The 23,856-nt window shown below is 41.7% G+C and overlaps 1 protein-coding gene across 2 annotated transcripts; it reads left to right on the top strand.

Annotated features, from left to right (window-relative positions):
* Positions 1-4,236: 4,236 nt before the first annotated feature.
* LYG2 (lysozyme g2) lies at positions 4,237-23,513 on the top strand. 2 transcript variants are annotated; one of them, XM_017003751.3, is made up of 7 exons: positions 4,237-10,156; positions 10,622-10,739; positions 11,469-11,541; positions 18,939-19,079; positions 20,301-20,497; positions 21,622-21,760; positions 23,277-23,513. In XM_017003751.3, the coding sequence occupies exons 3-7, from the start codon at positions 11,499-11,501 to the stop codon at positions 23,393-23,395; spliced, it is 639 nt and encodes a 212-aa protein (XP_016859240.1). In that variant the 5' UTR covers positions 4,237-10,156; positions 10,622-10,739; positions 11,469-11,498; the 3' UTR covers positions 23,396-23,513. The 2 variants fall into 2 exon arrangements, with proteins under 2 accessions (XP_016859240.1, NP_783862.2); NM_175735.4 differs by having other exon boundaries at positions 10,093-10,156; positions 11,474-11,541.
* The last annotated feature ends 343 nt before the right edge of the window (positions 23,514-23,856 follow it).

Raw genomic sequence — 23,856 nt, 5'->3', positions numbered from 1 at the left:
TAAAAGTAGAACTACCATTTGATCCAGCAATCCCACTACTGGGTATCTACCCAGAGGGAAAGAAGTCTTTATATGAAAAAGACACTTGTACATCCATGTTTATAGCAGCACAATCTGCAATTGCAAAAATATGGAACCAGCCTAAATGCTCATCAACCAATGAGTGGATAAAGCAAATGTGATGTATATATATACATATATATATATAGATAGATTTATATATATATATACATACACACATGCACACCATGGAATACTACTCAGCCATAAAAGGGAACAAAATAATGGCATTTGCAGCAACCTGGATGGCATCGGAGACCATTATTCTAAGTGAAGTAACTCAGGAGTGGAAAACCAAACCTTGTAGGTTCTCACTTACAAGCGGGAGTTAAGCTATGAGGATGCAACGCCTTAAGAATCATACAATAGACTCTGGGGACTTGGGGAGAAGGGTGAGACGGGGGTGAGGAATAAAAGACTACACATTGGGTACAATATACACTGCTCAGGTGATGGGTATGGCAAAATCTTAGAAATCACCACTAAAGAGCTTATCCATGTAACCAAATACCACCTGTTCCCTAAAAACTATTGAAATAAAAAATAAATTTAAAAAGATGTGGTAAAAGATTAAAAATAAATAAAAATAGAAAAAAAAACTCTTCAGTCAAATATGGTGGCCACTAGTGGCTATTGAGTACTTGAAATGTAGCTAGTTAGAACTGCAATGTGCTGTAAGCCTAAAATACACACATTTAGTACAAAAAAGATTATAAAATATCCCAACTTTTATATTGATTTTGAAATAATATTTTGAGTATATTGGGCTAAACAAAATGTAGCATTAAAATTAATCTCACTTCTTTCAATGTGGCTGACAAAAAAGTTTAAATTAAATGTGCGGCTCACATTTTGTTTCTATTGGACAGCACAGGTGGAGAAGGTCTCTGAACATAAAACACCGAATAAGTATATTTTCCACTGGGACTGGGGATGGGTGCTTTGGGGGAAGTGCATAGGTGCTGGGCAGTGTTAAAATCAGGGTGGGCGTAGGTGGCAGTGAAGGGCAGTCTTTGTGCAGCCAGATGGCAAGTGAGAGCATGAATGCCTGACTGTTGGAAATGACAAAATAAATCATGGAATCCTGAAGTTTCAGGGTGTAAAATGCTTTAGAAATCATCATCTGACCCAATAAATGATGGAAAGAAATGCCCTGGACTCGGAATCTGAATGTTTTGGTTCCAGTCTCAGCTCCATCATTTATTAGATAGGACGTCTTGGGCAAGTCAGTCTCTTTTCTTATATGTCTAATGGGGGACATAAAATCTGCTTGATCTTTCCTGGAAGGTTATTTCTATTATTTTAACTTATTTGAAAGCCCACTCAAAATTCCAAAGTACTGCAACAATATGAGATATTAAATAGATGTTGCCTATTTTACAATCCTGGCTCAGCCCAGTTCTACAGACAGTTGGTAATTTTCAAGGTGAGTAATTAATACAGAGATACTTTGGCAGTGAAAATATTATTAGTGTGTTTGTGCTTATGTCTACACAGAGAAGAGAGAGGAGGCAAAGATAAAACCTGTAGCTCCCATTTTCTTCTTATATATTTTTACTTATTTTTTCTGTCACAGTTATAACCCCTTAAGAAAAATTTAGATGAGTACTAGAATCTGGCAAAATTAGTTAAATCAGACTGAGATGAATAAGATAGAACAAAATGAGCTGTAGAATGATGTTTTGGCTGAGCCACTCACTCTGCCAGGGTCAGCACCTTCTTTAATTGACTCTTTTCAAGGAAATGCAGTACAGGTTGCTCTCTGTTGTTACCTGTGTGTCATGACCCGCTGGGCCATTAACCCATTTGTCTTGAATAGTCAATTCTCTGGCCCCAGGATTGTCAGGAGCCAGGAGGAGCTGGGGAACATGGCTGAGACATTCTCACTCCTGTTCCAGCCTCAGGAAAACCCACTGAGCCTGGGTCAAATCTTGGGAGTAACTGCTGACAATGGTGATTCCTGAGCCATCCTCTCTCCATTGCTTGTCCTGGGTGAGGCCTCAGGGAGGCCAACAATTTCCTATGCCTCTCTATTGCTGTACACATCTGGAACTGAAATTCATTGCATATCCCTTCACCCCTGAATTTAACCCTGAGAAGTGTGAAAAATTGGTTCAAACGTCCTCATCAAAACTCATGTTGAAATTTAATTATCATATGTACTGGTATTGGAAGATGGAAACTTTAATAGATGATAGGTGCCAGGGTGCAGTGGCTCACGCCTGTAATCCCAGGACTTTGGGAGGCTGAGGCAAGAGGATCACTTGAGCACAGGAGTTTGAGATCAGCCTGGGCAACATGGTAAGATCCTGTCTCTAAAAAAAAAACACATACAAATTAGTGGGGAGTGGTGGCACACACCTGTAGTCCCAGCTATTCGAGAGTCGAGGTAAGAGGTTCACCTGAGCCTAGAGAGGTTGAGGCTGCAATGAGCTGTAATTGCACCACTGCGCTCCAGCGTGGACAACAGAGGGAGACCCTGTCTCAAAAAAAAAAAAAAAAAAAAAGATAATGAGGTCATGAGGCTTCGCCCTCATGAATGGAATAATGCTGTTCTCTCAGGGGGGCTTTATTTCTGCAGGATCAGCTCAGCCCCATTTGCTCTCCATCTTGTGTGTTCACCTCCACCTTCTGCCATTCCACCATGGATGACCCTTGTCAGATGCCAGCACCATGCTCTTGGATTTCCTGGCCTCCAGAACCATGGGCCCAATACATTTTTGTTTATCATAAATTACCCAGTCTGTGGTATGCTGTTATAGCAGCAAAAATAGCAGACTAAGACACTCACCATCCCAGTCACCACAGGGCCAGAACTCTAGAAGACGCCCTTGCAGTTCTCATAAAACCTGGGGTCGAAGGCCATCTAAGGGGTAGCCCTCCACAGCAATCATCTGTGGGATCAGACATGGCTAAAGAGTTTTAATATAGCATGTCTTTCTGAAAATTAATACAAGTTCCTTGTAGAACACTTGAAAATTACTGCAAGGTACTGATTATATCCCTTTTAATTATGTAATTTTTTGTAAAATTTCTTTCTTTTTTTTTTTTCTTCTTCTTCCTTTTTTTTTTTTTTTTTTTTGGCATATGATTATCAAAGGACTAGGGCTGGGCATGGTGGCTCACGCTTGTAGTCCCAGTACTTTTGGGATGCCAAGGTGGACAGATCATGAGGTCAGGAGATCAAGACCATCCTGGCTAACACAGTGAAACCCCATCTCTACTAAAAATACAAAATATTAGCTGGGTGTGGTGGCAGGCGCCTGTAGTCCCAGCTACTTGGGAGGCTGAGGCAGGAGAATGGCGTGAACCTGGGAGGCGGAGCTTGCAGTGAGCCGAGATCGTGCCACTGCACTCCAGCCTGGGCAACAGAGCAAGACTCCATCTCAAAAAAAAAAAAAAAAAAAGACTAGGACCCAGACTATAGTATATGAGGACTTCTATTTTAAAAAATGAGAAAAAGTTGATGATATCTTGTGATATAAAAAATTTTTAAAGCCAAATAAATAAAATGTGAAAAAGGCAAACAACCCAGTGAAAAGTGATCAAAGAATACAAACGGGCAGTTCAGAGCAGGTAAAACTGACACTGCCAATGAGCATATATGAAAAGATGCCCAACCTCAGTCAGGAAACTGACTTTTCTCACCCAATTTAAGTCTAATTATAGCAAACCTCGGTGGAGATATGGAGCATGGAAACACTTACATCCTGCTTTAGAGGGGTAAATGTGGTACAGCTGCTTTGAAGAAGAATTTTGTAACATCTGGTATAGTTGAAGATGCAATTCAGCTTAATTTCCATGCCTGCATATACACACACTTAAAACAAAATTGGAAACATTCATTAATACCATTTAATAACCTGCTTAAGTAAAGTAAAGAGCTTAACAGTATGAACATCCTTCTGTTGTTAAACAAGAAAACTTATTATTAAGAAGCCTCCAGCTGAGGCTCCTAACCCCTGCTTCCTCTCTTTGCACTGTGAGGGCCTCTGGCCTGATAAAAGGTCACCAGAATCTTTGCACACACAGCCCAGAATCACCCACACCTGCCTGCTCCTCCACTGTCTGTGGGGATATGCGATAGCCCAAGCCCCTGCATGCCTGATTTATTCCTCTCACCATCCACCCCCTCATCCTTCTGCCCTTGATTTTGGTCAGGTTACTAAGGAGAATGAGTTGGAGAGGTCCACAGGGGATTCCAGTTCTCCTAGAAATCAAGACTGCAGGAAGCAGGCACGAGGGAGTGAGCAAGCACTTGGGAAAGGGCCTGAGCAAAGCAGGCTGAAGCTTGTATGCTACTGTTTGTTGTAACTGCGGGTGGAGTTAGAGGTAAGGTAAGAGAAGTAAGCTGGGAGAAAAGGATGGCCGATACACTCCACCTCCAAAACCTTAAGCTTAAATCTTCCCACTGGCCCCATGATAGCCCCTTACTTTCTTCCCTTCATTTCCAATCCACTTGCCATTACTTAAGCCATTCCTTTGCCAAACTCCATCTCACTTGTCCCTGTATCCTCCTTGCATGGCCCCCGCAGAGCTGCACCTCAGCCCTGGACCACTCCAGCCCTCTGTTTTCTCCTTGTCTGTACTTAGGTTGCCGTGTCAGACCCCAGCATTTCAATACCTCCAAATGAACATTTATGGACTCCAATCTCAACTAGTCCATATGTAAACCCCACTCATCTTTTTGGCTCTCTTTCAGCTGTCTCTCCAATTCTACCGGGTAGCTTTTCCACATGCTCTCCGTTTTCTAAGTCCACGTAGTTTTTACTCTCAGCACATGATTTGACCTCCTGTTTCACAAAGGACTTAAAAATCATTAGATAACTCCCTCAGTTTTCTCCTATCAACTCTATACACTGAACTGCATTGCTATCTGATTTTTTTCTCTTTTCTTTCTGTTACAATGGAAGAGGCAGTCCCATTCCTGCCTCAGGCCAATTTCTATGCTTAAGCTTTTGAACTAGCGTCTTCAACATCATTACCTGACCAAATAATCCTATTGTTTTTTGTATCCTCATTTTCTACAGCATTTGATTATATTCAAGTCACTCCCAGGTTAAACCATGACAAAAGGACTGTCTTTGACACAAGTCCTTCTCCAGATACTGCTCCAGCTCTTCTCTCCATCACAGGTATAGTGAACAACTATAGAGCAGTTTTTTACAAAATCATCCAGACTTCTAGGTAAGTGACTGCCTGGGGTCAGAGGGTGAACAGGAGAGAAGAGGGAGGGGAGAGAAACTGGGAATGACTGCTAATGGTTGTGGAGATTCTTCCATGGATAATGAAAATACTCTAAAATTGATTATGCTGATGGTTGCAAAACTCTTATCAACATACTAAAAACCATTGAATTGCACACTTTAAATGAGTGAAGGCTATGATATGTGAATTATACCTCAAATCAAGCTGTTTTTAAAAAATAGCTTACTTGGCCGGGCACGGTGGCTCATGCCTGTAGTCCCAGCACTTTGGCAGGCTGAGGCAGATGGATCACCTGAGGCCAGGAGTTTGAGACCAGCCTGGCCAACATGGTGAAACCCCATCTCTACTAAAAAATACAAAAATTAGCCAGGTGTGGTGGTGGGCACCTGTAATCTCAGCTACTCAGGAGGTTGAGGCAGGAGAATTGCTGGAACCTGGAAGGTGGAAGTTGCAGTGATCCGAGATCATGCCACTGCCCTCCAGCCCAGGCTGACAACAGTGAGTCTCCATCAAAAAAAAAAAAAAAAAAAAGTTTACTTTTGGCACAATGAAAGACATAGTTAGGGGATATCATGAGGCAGTCTTTTTATGGTGATGGGTCAGTTCTGTATCCTGATTATGGTGATGGTTACTTGCATCTACCTGTGGGATAAACGTTCACAGTACTATACGCTTCTGAAATATAAATAAATATTTTTTTTAAAAGAGCGTGTAAAAACAAACTGGGGAAATCCAAATAAGGTCTGTACCTAAGTTTACAGTATTGTATAATACTAATGGTAATGTTCTGGATTTGACATGTACTATAGTTATGTAAGACATTGCCATTGGGGGAAGCTGGGTGAAGGGTACATGAGAACTCTTGGTACTATTTTTGAAGCTTCTTGTGAAATTTAAACTATTTCAAAATGAAAACGTTACTTTAAAATTTTGTTTCAGACTTCTCCCTTCTCCTTTCCAAACCACAGGGAGTCCCTTTTTCAAACAAATATATTCCTAGACATGGTTGAATGATCCAGAGGTGGGCACCTGACCCAGCCCAGGTTCATTGGAATTTTTTCCTGGATTTTTTTTTTAACTTGTGTATTTTTCCATTATATCGTTATACTACAACTGTTAGTCCATTCTTCTGTTGATGAATTTTTTGGAGTGTTTCCAGTTTTGAGCTATTATGAATAAAGCACTGTAAAAATTCTTTTTTTTTCTTTTCTCTTTGCAGAACTTACAATCTGTGAAGATTCTCATACAAGTCTTTTGGGAGACATTTTTTTTTTTTTCATTGCTCTTGGGTAAATAACTAGAAATAAAATTCCTGAGGCATATAGTTATTTACTTTGTTAGAAACTGCTGAACAGTACTACAAAGCAATCATACCATTTTATACTCCAACCAGCAATGTATGAGAGTTCTGTTTTGTTTCATATTCTCACCAATATGTGATATAGCTAGTCTTTGGTTTTAGCCTTTTTAGAGAGTGTGAAATACTGTCTCATTTTGGTTTTATTTTGCATTTCCCTGATGTGTAAAGATGTTTACCAATTTTTCATGAGCTTTATTGGCCATTTGTATATCTTCTTTCCTGAAATGTTGGTCAAATGTTTGACATTGGAAGACCAATAATGCAACCATATAAGTGGCTTCTTCAACAGGGCATACCCTGCATTTTACCTATCATATAGTAGATTAAAACCAAGACAAGAAAAGCACACAGCAGTTAAAGCTTGACATTGATATATCCTGGGGTTAAGTTGAATGTTTTAGTGAAATTTTATGGAAGGGCTCCCCTTCTGCCTTCTTACCAGCCATTGGCGCCAAAGTACCTTTGCCACATATTCTTGGGCAGCTCCCCCATTTTATAGGTTTCAGAGCTGTGAAACAGATGCTTGGGCTGCAGCTGCTTGTGTGGCTGTTTCTGAACTTATCCTTCCTCCACTCCTACCAGGCAGGCTACAGAGTCCTGACAATGAATAGCTCTTGCTTGTCCTGCCAAGTTTTCTTCATGGCTGGAGAGAGACTTCACCTCCTACTTCCTGTCCTATAATTCAGCTGTTTATTTTTCCTGAGTGCATGGATAAACAAACAAATGAATAAATCAACAAGAAGCTAAGCCATCAGGACTTGAGTGCAAACCCATCATGATAGTAACTGGCATCTCTATGAAGCACTGTAGTTTATAACATGTTTTTACATATAAAATTTATTTTTGTCTTCAAAACAAAGTCATGGGGCATTATTATCATCTCCATTTTACAGATGAGGAAAATTAAGGCTCAGGGAGGTTAAATGAGTTGGCTATGGTCATCCTCCTTGGCTGTTGTTCCTGAGAAGGGAAAGCTGTGCCTGGGATTCACAAATAATGACATGGCGGAGACAACCCAGTCTCTATTAGCACAGACTAGTGTTGGGAGGGAGGCAGGTGGGGACGCAGAGGGCGAGGGGACCAAGGGAGCCTGAGGTGCTGGATTCCTTTAACTCCCAAAAGTGCTAACCTAGGGTAGCTCAGGGCACAAGGGCAGGTCTTTGTGTGGTATGAATTGAGAAGTCTTGCCAGGAACTCCTACCAGAATCTACTTCCCTGGCTATACAGAGTACCTCAGTTTTCATAATCATTCCTCTCCTCCTAACTAGGACAGTACTGCTTAAACTTTCCCATTGAAGTTTTCCAATTGCTGAGGCCATTTAGTCGTTAGGGATGATTGGAGTCTCCACCACTGAAGCCAGGAACCCCAAATCTGTTAGGACTCCCCAGAAGCTGCCAGAGAATTGCTGCACTGAAGAGTCTTAGGAGCAGGCAACTGATTTGAGGGGTAGGGGACCAGGCCATAGAGTTTTATTTGTATAGCACAGAAATTGCTTGCATATAGATTGTGTTTTTATTTTGGGGACTGATAGAGATTATGACAGGTGCCAAGTTCCCTTCAAGCCCCTCCTGGAAATAACAGTACAACTTACATGTAGTCATTCTTGGTATCCCTGGGAAGAGATGGAGAATTATTCAGTACATTTCTTCTTAGTGACAAGAAATTTCTAAGGTCATTATACAATAGTACCCACACTTAACCATCCACTGGGTCAGTAGGGTACTGCAGTTAAGAGTTAGGCTTCAGAATGTAACAAACTTAGGTTATGCCCCTTCCTATTATTCTACCAGTCATACCATACAAGGTCAGTGCGTATTAACTACATTATTATTACTGGTGGAGAAAATATAAAGTGACAAAAAACCACTTTGGACTTAGTTAACTTATATTAATTTGCATTTTAGAAATTACAACAGCACCTACAAACATTTGACAGATAGTGGTATAAAAATCTGTGAGTGGTGTTATTTTTCCAGACCACGGACAATGCTTTGTATCCAGATTGATTTGGACCTGTTGCAATGATTGCTCTGCAGAGGCATTTGTCCATCGTGCTGGCACTTCGATACAGTGGAAGAGCATGGATTTTGGAATCTTACAGGCCTAGATTCAAATCCTGGCTCTGTCACATGCTAACTGTGCCATCTTTGACAAGTTACTTAGCTTCTCTGAGTCACAGTTTCCTCATCTCTAAAATAAGGGATAATACCTGCCTCACAGGGCCAGTGGAGGATTGAGTCATATAATATCCATAGGAACCTGACTAATGTTGGGTGTCAAATAAATGTTCAATTGTTCTCTCACAGCTTGAGTGAACAGAACAATCCACATCAGTTTGAAAACAATTTTGGTTGAGTTGCAGAAGCCTGGACATTAAGGACCTCATACCTAGAAGGACTCGTAGCCCCACTAACTGAGAGCAGAAGGATAAGTATTCTTCACATTCAACAGTGCTTTAAATGTTTTATTAACAATGTCTTCTTCCAGTGCATGTAGGGAGAGCCCCAGCCTCCACCTACTCTCTTTTACCTAACTTATCATTCGTAACTTCTTAATCTCCCTTTCTTGAGCTTTCTCATTGCACTTAGCCTGGAAGCCTCAGGTAAGTGGCTCTACTCACCCTGCAGTGAAGTGGGTCACGGGCACAATGTCGCTGGGTCATAGACTATGGGTTTCTAAGGCCTGCCTCAGGGCAGTTAGACTCCTGCAATATCCCTTATTCAAGAGTGGTCCTGACTGCAGTGTTGATGGTGGTGGAGCAGACCCTCCATGGGTCACTTTCCTGAGAGTCAGGTAGGAATCATCCATTGGCTCAGAACAGCCCTGCCACTCTTCCAGGGATGGAAGGCTAGAGGCCATGCCAGAGACGTCTGTTCTACAAGCAGGAAGGCAGGCAGGGCAGAAGTGAATGCCAGTGGACTGTGCAGACCTCAGCTTGGGGAGGGCATGTTCTCCTGGGAGTGGAGGTGGTTTTATTGCCAGGGAGCTGGGAAGTTGCCTGTGGTTTTGTCTTCCTGTTCCCTGTACAGCTGCCTTCCACCTTTCTTCACTCAGTGGATGTGGGGGAGGACTGTGTGCAGTCTGAGAAACTGGACACGCTTGTGGAAGGACCCAGACCAGACTTCTTCCTCCCCTCAGCGCAATGTGCTTTGCCTGTTTCAAGAACGTCCCTTCCATTTCCTGTTCCTGGGGCTGCACAATATGCTTCCTCTCTTCCTTTGGACATAAGCCTGAAGAAAGATACTCTCTTCTTGAAGAAGTTTTCATCCCTGGCTATAATCTTTTTTCCCATATCCTTAGCAAGTATGGGCAAATGAGCACTCACGTTGCTACTCCCTGGTTTTGCATTGATCTCCTAGAGCAGGTGGCCACACTTGCACCTTTTTCTCAGAAGTGGGATTGGAGTAAGGAGCCAAGTTCACCTATCATGATCATGTGACATAGTGGTTTGAGATCATGTGACATACTGGTACGGGGATCATATGACATTGGAATGGGAACAAAAAGCAGGAGACCCAATATTTCAGGTAAATAACCAATCCAAGAATAAAAATTGCTAGTATTTCCTGTTATCCTTTTAAAGTGAATTATCTGTTTCTTATTCGCAAATTTAGAAGCTGTTTGGCACAATTTTAGATATCTAGAAACAATCTATCAAAATATGCCTCCTGAGCAACTTGGGGGTTCATTAGGTTAATTAATTAATAGTGGTTAATAAGCCCTTTGAAATCCTCTTATTAATTGGGTCACCTAAGTCCTAAGTACTATTATAACCAGGCCTAATGAGGTCAATGGTTTAAAGAGAGGGTTTTAAACCATATATAAAGCTCCTCTAATGATCATTGGTACAGGACGAAGGTAAGAAAAGCCAGGTGAGTCTTCATGCTGGTGTTTAAAAGTTTCCTCCACAGCAGTAGAGCCACGCTGATGTCTACTCTGTTGAAGCCAGGTGCGCAGTGATCTACTGACTAATGGATTCTCCAATTGTTAAGCCTATGTTACAGGACAAAGGCCGTCGCTTTGTAAAAGCTTGAAGTGCAGTTTGCTGCTGAGTACAGAAGACCTTTGCAAACAGAGAGGGGAGATTTTCTCTGTAAGGTTGCAAACAAGGTTAGTGCTGGCCTTCTTATGTCTTGTAAAACTTATAAGCTACCATTTGAATGAAACCAAGAATAGAGTTGATTGAGGAAGAAATGGAGCAGAGGAAACCTCTTCTAAGTCACGTTCTCATGCTCCTGTTGGTATTTTGTTTTATTTTGTTTTCCCTACGGAGACCCTGGTATAAGAATGGAAACACCCAGGCATGGTGGCACGCATATGTCGCCCCAGCTACTCAGGAGGCTGAGGTGGGAGGATCGCTTGAGCCCAGGAGTTTGAGGCCATAGTGAGCTATGATTATGCCACTGCACTCCAGCCTGGGTGACAGAGCAAGATCCCATTTCTAAATAAATGAATGAAAGACCAAAACTGATCCTTGAAGCCAGGGGTAGGGTGAATAACTAGAATGAAAAGATCAGTATTTTTTTTTTTAAAAAGAAAGGGAACAAAATTGTGGTGTTACCAAGCTTAGAGGTGGGATGGGAGTGTATATTTAGTTACATATGTAAGATACGCATGACTCATGTCAATATGAAATTGGATTGAAGTGAGATTAGGAGTTTATGCTTAAGAAAGAGAGTGTGCCAACAAACTATGTACTGAGCCTGTGAGAATACTATCTTGAAACAGGGAAATGAGTAGTGAATTGGAAATAACTCTAAACTTTTTAAAATATCAAAGCAAATTTTTCTTTAGGAAATTTTCAGGTTTTAAAATTAACCAGTTTCTATTTCAAATCAGAGCAGGTCCTGGAAGATAAGATTCCCCGCCATGTTATCCTCCGTGGTGTTTTGGGGACTAATTGCCCTCATTGGTAAGTCACTGGCTGAGATTTAGCATTGTTCACAGGGTGTCCACAAAAACCTCCAGCACAATCATGAATCAGAAAGAGCAATGATTACCTGTAATGGAAGAGTGGGCTCTCATTCTGACCAGCTTGGCCATTAATCAACTATTATTTCTATAATTAACAGTGTGTTCTGCTTGCTAAGCAGGTGAAAAACAGGATCTATGGGAATTTCAAATAATCTAATATTTATTGATCTGCTTACTTCCTGTCTGACAATGCACCTATCAGGCTGGATACCTTACCGAGAGGTATATGGAACAGTGCCTTGGAAGCAAAACACATGAAGAGACAATTATCAATGCCAAGCAGTGGATGAGAGTTCAATGTGTATAGGTGGGAAAAAAGCACTAGTCTGGGAAAGGTTTGGGAGGAAGAGCTCACATCCAACTAGAATGCTCAGATGTGAAAGGCTTTTGGGGGGGACATGTCAATTGAAGGATGCTTGGTGATTTAATAAGAAAAAGGAAGAGCCTGCTGGATGGGAAGAAAGATTTCAGTAAAAAAGCAGAGGCAGAAATGAATGAAAAGTCTTTGGGTCAGTGTGGTCTGGACAGACGAGGGGGTTTCTGGGGGGAAGGCTGGAAAGATAGGTTGGTAAGTTGGTAAGGGATCTTGAATAAGAGAATGTGAAAACTCTGACCTAAGCAAAATGAAAAGCCATTATGAGCAATGTTCAAGTTGTCTTTAATTATAGAATGGTGACTGAAAGGAAAGTGTTTCTAAAATGTTTAATTCTAAATTTGGAAAAACAAGGCTACCCGAAAGTAATTTCCAGTTACTTATGGTCAAAACAGGGCAACATAGTTTTAAATTTTTACTCTTTTTAGATTGCCAGGTGAGAGCAGAGTTAAATAGCCAGTAGATTAATTATGAGCTACCATATTAGCTGTGTATAGCTGAAAGGTGACTCTTAATTTAAAAAGGGCTTGTGTGTTTATAAGGCCTACACAGGCAGCGTAGGGTCCATGGTCATATTCCAGTTCCCTTAAAGCAGTGGTTCATAAACATGTGTAAGAGTCAACTGGGAATGCTGGGTAAAAGGCAGCTTCTTTCGCCTTATACTGCAAGATTTTGGTGCAGTAGATCTGGTGTGAAAAGCCCAGTGATAAGCCTTTTTTTTTTTTTTTTTTTTTGAGACAGAGTCTTGCTCTGTCGCCCAGGCTGGAGAGTGCAGTGGTGCGATCTCAGCTCACTGCAAGCTCTGCCTCCTGGGTTCATACCATTCTTCTGCCTCAGCCTCCCAAGTAGCTGGGACTACAGGCGCCCACCATCATGCCCAGCTAATTTTTTTGTATTTTTAGTAGAGACAGGGTTTCACTGTGTTACCCAGGATGGTCTTGATCTCCTGACCTCGTGATCCGTCCGCCTTGGCCTCCCAAAGTGCTGGGATTATAGGTGTGAGCCACCACGCCCGGCCCAGTGATAAGCATTTTTAATAAGCTTCCTGGGTAACTTTGATGCCTGTGGTCTGTGGGCCACACAGTGAGCCTGGCAAAGACTGCCTCCCAGTGAAAGGATACTGAACCTGTCAATATAAGGACACTTGATCCAGATAATTTAAACAATCCCTTTCTGTCTCATTCCTTCATCCATCCAACTATCCATTCTTCCATTCAGCAAATGTTTATTAAATGTCTACTTTGTGCCAAGCATTGTTCCAGGTGCTGAGGAGGATATAGCAGAGAAAAACATCTAGTATCTGACCTAATGAAATTTATCTTCTAGTGAGAGGAACGAACAGTAAGAGAGTGAGAGGAAAAAGGGAAGAGAGAGGGAAAGAGTGAGAGGAAGGGAGGGAGATAAAAACATTTCACCTGTAAAAATTTTTGGGCTGGGCACGGTGGCTCACACCTGTAATCCCTGCACTTTGGGAGGCCGAGGCAGGCGGATCAAGAGGTCAGGAGATTGAGACCATCCTGGCTAACACAGTGATACACCATCTCTACTAAAAATACAAAAAATTAGCCAGGTGTGGTGGCAGGCACCTGTAGTCCCAGCTACTTGGGAGGCTGAGGCAGGAGAATGGCATGAACTTGGGAGGCGGAGCTTGCAGTGAGATAAAAACATTTCACCTGTAAAAATTTTTGGGCTGGGCACGGTGGCTCACACCTGTAATCCCTGCACTTTGGGAGGCCGAGGCAGGCGGATCAAGAGGTCAGGAGATTGAGACCATCCTGGCTAACACAGTGATACACCATCTCTACTAAAAATACAAAAAATTAGCCAGGTGTGGTGGCAGGCACCTGTAGTCCCAGCTACTTGGGAGGCTGAGGCAGGAGAATGGCCACTGCACTCCAGCCTGGGCGACAGAGTGAGACTCCATCTGGAAAAAAAAATTTTTTTTTTTAATGTGTCTCTAACATATAAGGACCAGCTCTGGCACAAAAAGATGTTCCTGGTTCATCTTGAACATTTCCTGCCCCAGGCAGGCAATCAGCCATTATTCTGAGGAGCGCTGGTTCCACTTAGCAGGAAATGGTATTTAGAGACCACAGTGTGGGAAGTAAAAGTGCTCCATTGCTATGGAGCTGTCGTTTATTTCAGGTGTTTTCAGTGGCAGGAACTAGAAAATATATATTTTTAAAAGGAAAACAACTATGCATTCAGATATTTCACATTTATATTTAAGAATGCAAGCATTTTACATCAGTTTTATATTTGTACCTCTGCTATCTTACACTAAAAATCCTAGTTCTAATGACATTAGCATTATTACTTATTTACATACAATAGTGTCAAAATAAGTATGACAGTATTACCAACCAACAATGAGACAGTAAATATAATTTAAGATTTTCTTGTGATTATTTATGTTCACAGGATGGATTCCTATGTAGTGGTATAGACTTATATGGATATATTTTAAAGTCACTTAAGATAATTCTCCTCTATGTGTTTATTAATCTTTCAATTTGTTATAGAGTTATGTTCATTTGTTCTTCTTTTTTATGATTCCATTTTTCCCCATTTGATTTAATTTTAAAATTTATGATAACATTTACATGGTTCCAAAATAAAAACTTTAAAAAAGATAGTTAGTCTATCCCCTATCCCTGTTCCCTTTACCTTCCTCTTACTCTCTCCATAACTAACAATTTTTATCAGTTTTTCATTCATCCTTGTATTGTTTCTTTTGAAAATATGAGCAAATCACACAAAATATACGATTGTATTTTCTTACCTTTCTTACACAAAGAGTACAATTCTATAAATACTATTTTGTCCCTGGAGAGAATTTTACAGGAGTATATACAGGTCTTATTCTTTCCTTTTGCAGCTGCATAGTGCTCCACTGTGGACGTAGCATCACTTACTCAACCAGTCCCTAAATTAATGACATTTGTGTTGTTTGCAGTCCTTTGCTCTTATCAACAGTGCTGGAATGAACAGCCTATCACAAAACTGTGTTCCACAGCAATGTGTGTGACAGCCTATTTCCTCACAACCTCTCCCACAGAGGGTATTGCCAAACCTTTGGGCTCTTGCCAACTAAAGAGTTGGAAAATGCAGCCAGGCGTGGTGGCTCACGCCTGTAATCCCAGCACTTTGGGAGGCCAAGGTGGGCGGATCACAAGGTCAGCAGATCGAGACCATCCTGGCTAACATGCTGAAACCCCGCCTCTACTAAAAATACAAAAAATTAGCCGGGTGTGATGGCAGGCGCCTGTAGTCCCAGCTGCTGGGGAGGCTGAGGCAGGAGAATGGCATGAACCCAGGAGGCGGAGCTTGCAGTGAGCCATGATCGCACCACTGTACTGCAGCCTGGGCGACAGAGCAAGACTCTGTCTCAAAAAAAAAAAAAAAAAAAGAGTTGGAAAATGCTGTTATAATGATGTTTTAATGTGGCCTTTCTCTTCTTTTGAGTGTGGTTTAACGTCTTTTATATGTTTAAGGACTATTTTCTTTTTTTGTCTATAAACTCGCTATATATTCTGCTGATAAGGTGATATTTGGACAGAGACCTGAAGGCATGATCATGTAGATACCAGGAGGAATAGCATTCTAGGCAAAAGGGACCACAAACATACAGGCTTTGAGGCAGAAACCTGCCTGGCATGTTGAAGGATAAGCACAAAGAAGAATGTGGCTGGAGGAGAGTGAACAAAGGGAAAGAGAAGTAGGAACAGGAGCAGAGGGCCACATCTAGTAGGTCTTGGAGGCTGCAGGATGGACTTGGCTATTCCCCTAAAGGAGGAGAAAGCCACTGGAAGGTTAAGAGAGAAGACTGATAGCAGCCCATGCATATTCCCACAGGGCCACTCCGTCTACTAAGTAGAGGATGGGCTGCAAGAGTGAATCAGGGAGGTCAGTTAGAAGGCTGTTAGGAGAGTCCAGATGAGCAATGATGCTGGCTGGGACTATGGCAGAAGCAGAGGTGGGAGAAGTGGTTAGATTCTTTTTTTTTTTTTTTTTTTTTTTTGAGACAGAGTTTCGCTCTTTTTGCCCAGGCTGGAGTGCAATGGCGCGATCTCGGCTCACTGCATCCTCCTCCTCCTGGGTTCAAGCGATTCTTCTGCCTCAGCCTCCCGAGTAGCTGGGATTACAGGCATGCACCACCATGCCTGGCTAATTTTGTATTTTTAGTAGAGATGGGTTTCTCCGTGTTGGTCAGACTGGTCTTGAACTCCCGACCTCAGGTGATCCGCCTGCCTTGGCCTCCCAAAGTGCTGGGATTACAGGTGTGAGCCACCACGCCCAACCAGATTCTATTTTTTTTACATCAAACATTTTAACAAAATCCTTTTTTTTTTTTTTGAGATTTGAGACAGGGTCTTGTTCTGTTGCCCAGGCTGGAGTGCAGTGGCACCATCAAAGCTCACTGCAGCCTCGACCTCCCGGGTTCAATCAATCTTCCTGTCTCAGTCTCCCATGCAACTGGGACTACAGGCATGTGCCACTACACCAGGCTAATTTTTGTATTTTTTGTAGAAATGAGTTTTGCCATGTTGCATAGGCTGGTCTCAAACTCCTACGCTCAAGCAATCGTCCTGCCTCAGCCTCTCAAAGTGCTGGGATTCTAGGCATAAGCCACAACATCCAGCCCTAAGTACTGTCTTATAACAAATATTTGGACTCTTAAGGTACAAGTTAACAGTCCTTGAAACCGTTAGAACAAACTTTTCAACATTACAGAAAATAACTTTGTATCTCCTTTAGCAAAAGCTCTGCCTCTCCTGTAACAGGTAGACTTGGACAGAAATTCACTTTTTAATGACAGAACAAAAAGACAAGAATAGATTTGACTTAAATTATTTTGGCAAATTCAATTTTTACTTCTAATTTTATTAAATATACATAGGAACTCAACTTCACAGTAAATGATATATAATAAGAATATATTTAAATTGTTATGGTGCCCTTCTTTCTTATCTTTCTAAACAAAGGCAAATTGGTTTTTTTTGAATTTTATTTATTTATTTTTATTTTATTTTATTTTATTTTATTATTATTATACTTTAAGTTTTAGGGTACATGTGCACAATGTGCAGGTTAGTTACATATGTATACATGTGCCATGCTGGTGTGCTGCACCCATTAACTCGTCATTTAGCATTAGGTATATCTCCTAATGCTATCCCTCCCCCCTCCCTCCACCCCACAACAGTCCCCAGAGTGTGATGTTCCCCTTCCTGTGTCCATGTGTTCTCATTGTTCAATTCCCACCTATGAGTGAGAACATGTGGTGTTTGGTTTTTTGTCCTTGGTGATAGTTTACTGAGAATGATGATTTCCAATTTCATCCATGTCCCTACAAAGGACATGAAGTCATCATTTTTTATGGCTGCATAGTATTCCATGGTGTATATGTGCCACATTTTCTTAATCCAGTCTATCATTGTTGGACATTTGGGTTGGTTCCAAGTTTTTGCTATTGTGAATAGTGCCGCAATAAACATACGTGTGCATGTGTCTTTATAGCAGCATGATTTATAGTCCTTTGGGTATATACCCAGTAATGGGATGGCAGGGTCAAATGGTATTTCTAGTTCTAGATCCCTGAGGAATCGCCACACTGACTTCCACAATGGTTGAACTAGTTTACAGTCCCACCAACAGTGTAAAAGTGTTCCTATTTCTCCACATCCTCTCCAGCACCTGTTGTTGCCTGACTTTTTAATGATTGCCATTCTAACTGGTGTGAGATGGTATCTCATTGTGGTTTTGATTTGCATTTTTCTGATAGCCAGTGATGGTGAGCATTTTTTCATGTGTTTTTTGGCTGCATAAATGTCTTCTTTTGAGAAGTGTCTGTTCATGTACTTCGCCCACTTTTTGATGGGGTTGTTTGTTTTTTTCTTGTAAATTTGTTTGAGTTCATTGTAGATTCTGGATATTAGCCCTTTGTCAGATGAGTAGGTTGCGAAAATTTTCTCCCATTTTGTAGGTTGCCTGTTCACTCTGATGGTAGTTTCTTTTGCTGTGCAGAAGCTCTTTAGTTTAATTAGACCCCATTTGTCAATTTTGGCTTAAGAAAGGCAAATTGTTAATCTAGATGTTCACATCTCCAGAGGCATTTGTGTCAGAAATGTTTTAAAATTCCTCTCAAAACAATAGACACTGGGGACTGTAAAAGGAAGGAGGGAGGGAGGAAGGTAGGGAGGCAAGGGTTGAAAACTACACATCAGGTACTGTGTTCACTATTTGGGTGAAGGATCAATAGAAGGCCAATCCTCAGCATCACACAATATGCCCACGTAACAAACCTGCACATGTACCCCCTGAATCTTAAAAAAAAAAAAAAAACTCTCAAGTTTCCTGCTTAAAAACCTGTCAGTTTTAATTCTGACATAGAGCATGGTATGACTACAGTGCCTGTAATCCCAGCACTTTGGGAGGCCAAGGAGAGAGGATCGCTTGAGCACAGGAGTTTGAGACTAGCTTGGGCAACATAGCAAAACCCCATCTCTACAAAAAGAGAAAATAAGCCAGTCCTGGTGATATGCACCTGTGGTTCCAGCTACTCAGGAGGCTGGGGTGGGAGGATAGTTTGAGCCCAGGTGTTGGTGCCTGCAGCGAGCTATGATCATGCCACTGCACTCCAGCCTGGACAACAGAGCAAGACCTTGTCTCTTAAAAAAAGGAAAAAAAAAGACTGCACATGTATTTAGGATCTATAAGAGATGAATTTCATAATATTTTGCATAGAGTTTTCAGATTACGTCCTGTGTTAATACAAAACAAAACAAAAGATCGGAGCAGAGTGGGCATGGGGAACTTCTGTCTGAGGAACAAATAATGGCAACAAGAGAGTTGGGGAGTTCTGTCTGTGGCCTTCTGCCTTTGGTTTAGTGATGTTTATTGCAGCAACCCAAGTAATATCTTCTCAGAGGATTCATGTGAGTTACACTTCTGCCTCCTAGGCACTTCCAGGGGCTCATACCCCTTCAGTCACTCAATGAAGCCTCACCTACATCCACGCCTGTACCACGGCTGCTATGGGGACATCATGACCATGAAGACCTCTGGGGCCACTTGTGATGCAAACAGTGTGATGAACTGCGGTAAGTGAAAAGCAGAGCAAATGACTGGCTTCCCCCTTTCATCGTTTTCAGATTCTTTCTTAGGAAGTCACTTAATTTTGAAAAGGTATAATCATCATTATGACAATAGTATCAAAATTAAAAATGAGCAAAAACCACAATCCTGACCAATCTAACAACCAGCTTCTTTTCATTTTCCACCCCCATTCTTTCCAAACTTTGTCCAGCTGTGTTTATTTCCATGTATTGAAACTACTGCTTGAATAAATATTAGACTCTGGCTTTGTTTTTTGGGTGGTGCTGCTGTGTTTGCTTCATGTTACACATGACCATTTGAAGCAATACTGTTCCAAAGTCGTCTTCATCACGTTATCCTGGTTTTAGAGTGTCGGAGCTGGCAGCAACCACAAGGTCACATCAGACCCCAACCCCTCAAATTTACAAATCAGAGCCCAAAGACTCAGCAAGGAGGGGAATACTTCCCAATAGAACAGAACCAACTAGTGGCGGAGCCAGGCTAAAACATGCATTGGCTAACTCCTAGTACAACAGGCTTCCCAGTGCACTAGTGTGGCAGAATTTTTTTTGTGTGTATGACAGAGTCTTGCTTTGTCACCCAGGCTGGAGTGCGATGGCATGATCTCGGCTCACTACAATCTCCACCTCCCAGGTTCAAGCGATTCTCCTGCCTCAGTCTCCTGAGTAGCTGGGGTTACAGGTGCCTGCCACCAAGTCCAGCTAATTTTTGTATTTTTAGTAGAGATGGGGTTTCACCATGTTGGCCAGGCTAGTCTTGAGCTCCTGACCTCAAGTGATCTGTCCACCTCGGCCTCCCAAAGTGCTGGGATTACAGGCATGAGCAATTTGAAGGAGAAACAGAGCAGAAGCGACACCTGTTGGGGGTTGTGGATCTGTTTGTTTCTGCAGTCAGAGATCAAAAGGATGTCTTAGAATGGTTGTCCCAAGTCATTAGCAGTGATCAGAGGCTGTGGCTAACTTAGCAAATTTTTAAAAATGGTTTTCTTCTGAAGTAGAAGAAACAGTTTCTTTTCTTTTTTTAACTTTAAATTCTTTTTTTTTTTTTTTTTAATTAGAGATGGGCTCTCACTATGATGCCCAGGCTGGTTTCGAACTCCTCCTGGGTTCAAGCAATCCTCCTGTTTCAGCCTCCTGTGTAGCAGGAACTGACTTCAGGCACACACTACCATGCCCGGAAAAACAGTTTCTTTTCTATTGACGTAGGGATCCGTGGTTCTGAAATGTTTGCTGAGATGGATTTGAGGGCCATAAAACCTTACCAGACTCTGATCAAAGAAGTCGGGCAGAGACATTGCGTGGACCCTGCTGTCATCGCAGCCATCATCTCCAGGGAAAGCCATGGCGGATCTGTCCTGCAAGACGGCTGGGACCACAGGGGACTTAAATTTGGCTTGATGCAGGTATTTAGCTAGAAACTTTCTATCAGCCCCACTGCATCCCTCCTCACAGAAGCTCAACCTGAACTAGAAATCCATTTGCAGTGCTTCCAAGCCCCAAAATACCCTGGCATCTGGCTACAGGTACTCCAGCATAATTTTTTTTTTTTTTTTGAGATGGAGTTTCATTCTTGTTACCCAGGCTGGAGTGCAATGGCGTGATCTCGGCTCACTGCAACCTCCACTCCCGGGTTCAAGTGATTCTCCTCCCTCAGCCTCCTGAGTAGCTGGGATTACAGGCACACGCCACCATGCCCAGCTAATTTTTTGTATTTTTAGTAGAGACGGGATTTCACCTTGTTGGCCAGGCTGGTCTTGAACTCCTGACCTCAGGTGATCCACCCACCTCAGTCTCCCAAAGTGCTGGGATTACAAGCTTGAGCCACTGTGCCCGGCCACTCCAGCATAATTTGATCTGGGATTTCTGTAACACATCTTTTTATTTTATTCAAGGCTTATTCATTATTAGATATATTTTAAAAAGTATTTTAGGAGTTTCATAACTACCATTCTGCAATAAATAATATGTAATACACTAAAACTGAGAAAATCTTATAAATAGCATTATTGTTACAGGTGTCCTCTTGGGGTTCATGAAGTAGTAAATTTCATCCATGTGGATCAAAACATGGTATAACTGTGCCCTACTTGAAACAACTTGTTCCTTTGGGTAAACTGGAGGAAGGGGATCCAAATTATCTGGATATTTGCTTCCAGGCTCGATTTTAAATTGTCTGTAGAAATACAGACTTCTGGCCTTCCCAGTTAGAAACAAATTTTTATCTGAATTAGCTGGATAATTATTTATTACTATAAATGTGTAGACTTTGGGTGTTATTTGTTTCAAAACAACTTAAATTTTTTTTTTGTATATTAGAATGTTTAGCTAAAACTATACCATGTCCATTTCTCCCAAACCTTACTTTGTTTCTCTGACTCTCATCTATATGAAAGAAAGAACAATAGAATTGACTCTTTGGGGATAAAGGCCGGTATCTATGACTTGAATACCAGGAGAGGAAATTAGGAATGGCAGAAAAAATGTGTTACCTCATCCAGATGCTGACTTTATTATCTGAATTTTCTAGCTTGATAAACAAACGTACCACCCTGTCGGTGCCTGGGATAGCAAAGAGCACCTTTCACAGGCTACTGGGATTCTAACAGAGAGAATTAAGGCAATCCAGAAAAAATTCCCCACGTGGAGTGTTGCTCAGCACCTCAAAGGTAGGCTGTATTCTGAGTACTTTGTTTAAATGAGCAATGAATGAGACCACTGAAGGCCAGTGTGACCCGAGACTCCCTGGGAGCATTTCCACGGGGTCAGCAGTGGCCCTGGGAGGAGCTGTCTAGAGGCTGCATTTGCATTCCCTGAACCACTGAGTTACTTTGAGAGGTCCTCCATCCTCAACCTCCATTTCCTCTTCTGCAGAATGTTGGGGTTCTTATTCATTGCTTACTGAGCTATTGAGTGATACCTTGAAACATAGTGAGACCCTGTCTCTACAAAAAAAAAAAAAAAAAAAAAAAAAGCTGGGCATGGTGACACACAGTCCCAGCTACTCAGGAGGCTAAGCCAGGAGGATTGCTTGTGCCTGGGAGGTTAAGGCTGCAGTGAGCATTGATTACATCACTGCACTCCAGCCTGGGAGACAGAGTGAGACCCCATCTCTCAAAAAAAAATTTATCTATCTATCTATCTATCTATCTATCTATCTATCTATCTATCTATCTGTTTGCCTACCTCTCATAGGTTTTTTCCTGTTATAAGAAACTGTCAACAACTTTCCAAATTGTCTGAACAATGTTACTCTGTGAGTATTTTCGGGACTTCAGGTGCTATATATCCAAGTGGAAATCTCTGCTTGGCTGACCACAGGCCCCCTCAAGTTCAGCATCTCCCAGATGGAATTAACTCACTAACTTCCCACTATAAATTTGCTCTTTCTTCTGCATTTTACATGTCTTGGAGGCACCATAATATAGCCAGTCATCCCAGCCTGAAAACCAGATTGCTTTCTTAGGCTCTCTGGTTCCTTCTCTCTTCACACCCAACCACATCAATTCCTATTAGGTTTGCCTCCTATTGGCCAATGTTATGTCCTCCACACTCTAACGGCCTTAATCAGAACAGTTTCTAGTCTCTACTTCAAGGTCCTTGAAGGCAGGGATCAGGACCAGGCATCTTCCTCTCTGGATATCAGAGCAGAGCACAATTATGTTAAACACATACATAACTACTAGAGATAAAATTCTAGGGTAAAATAGCACACACATGCATATGTACACATACCCAAAGAAATAAGTGTGTCTTGGGTACCTTGCAGTCAGTGTGGCACCTCTCCTGGCACATAGTAGGTGCTTGAAAACATTTCCTGAATGAATAAATGAGTGAGTGAATAGATGAGTGAATTATTGAATAAATGAGAGAATGTTACAAGCATTTTCAGCAGAGGATGTACTGGGAGTCTAGTTCTGCCAGGCCTGGATTACATAAAAAAGCAAATCTGATTTTTGCAACAAGAAAAACCAAAGACTTTGGAAAAAGAGAAAGAAAGCAATCTGGAATTTTCCCAGTGATTCTTGGGATAGCACGTCCTTTCAGAAAGGGAGGGAGAGGGAGGAGGATTTGGGACTGCCTGCTTTGGAAGATTTGCCTGGAAAGCTAACATCTTGGCAATGCTCATTGCTTATTTCTGTTGAAAGTTAATATTTGAGCCTAATTCTCTGTGTTTCATTTCAGGTGGTCTCTCAGCTTTTAAGTCAGGAATTGAAGCGATTGCCACCCCATCGGACATAGACAATGACTTCGTCAATGATATCATTGCTCGAGCTAAGTTCTATAAAAGACAAAGCTTCTAGGCAAAGCTCTGTGGGTGGGCCAGGTTGGCAGAGTGCTCAGATGGCCGCCTTTGAGAGTTTTACGTGAATGTGTTGTATACAACACTGGCAAAGAAATGATTAAAATCATGAAAGAAAATTCATTTCCCAATTTTCTGAATGAAAATAAGCATTGAAAAAAGGAAAGAAAAATAAAAGAAATCCATCCAGTTCACAATATGGTTCCTAGGAAACGGACATAGACATATATATAATTACTTTGCAGTAAATGTGAATATCATGGCAAATGGTCCCTAGGTATTCCAGCCAGGCTTCATTTTAGCCTGTGATTCCAATGCCCACCTACTCCCTGTCTACCAGAATTGCTAACAAGTTAAGTAAGCCTTACCCGAGCCTTTGTCTTTTTTCCAGTATCTGCCCAGAGCCCTCAGGCTTTGCTTATGAGAAGTTCCTGACTCGTAAGCCAGCCAATCCATGGGACA

This window comes from Homo sapiens, chromosome 2 (assembly GCF_000001405.40).
Source record: "Homo sapiens chromosome 2, GRCh38.p14 Primary Assembly".
NCBI classification, from domain to species: domain Eukaryota; kingdom Metazoa; phylum Chordata; class Mammalia; order Primates; family Hominidae; genus Homo; species Homo sapiens.
Note: the sequence above shows the minus strand (reverse complement) of the source record. Positions and strands in the feature narration are given on the sequence as shown.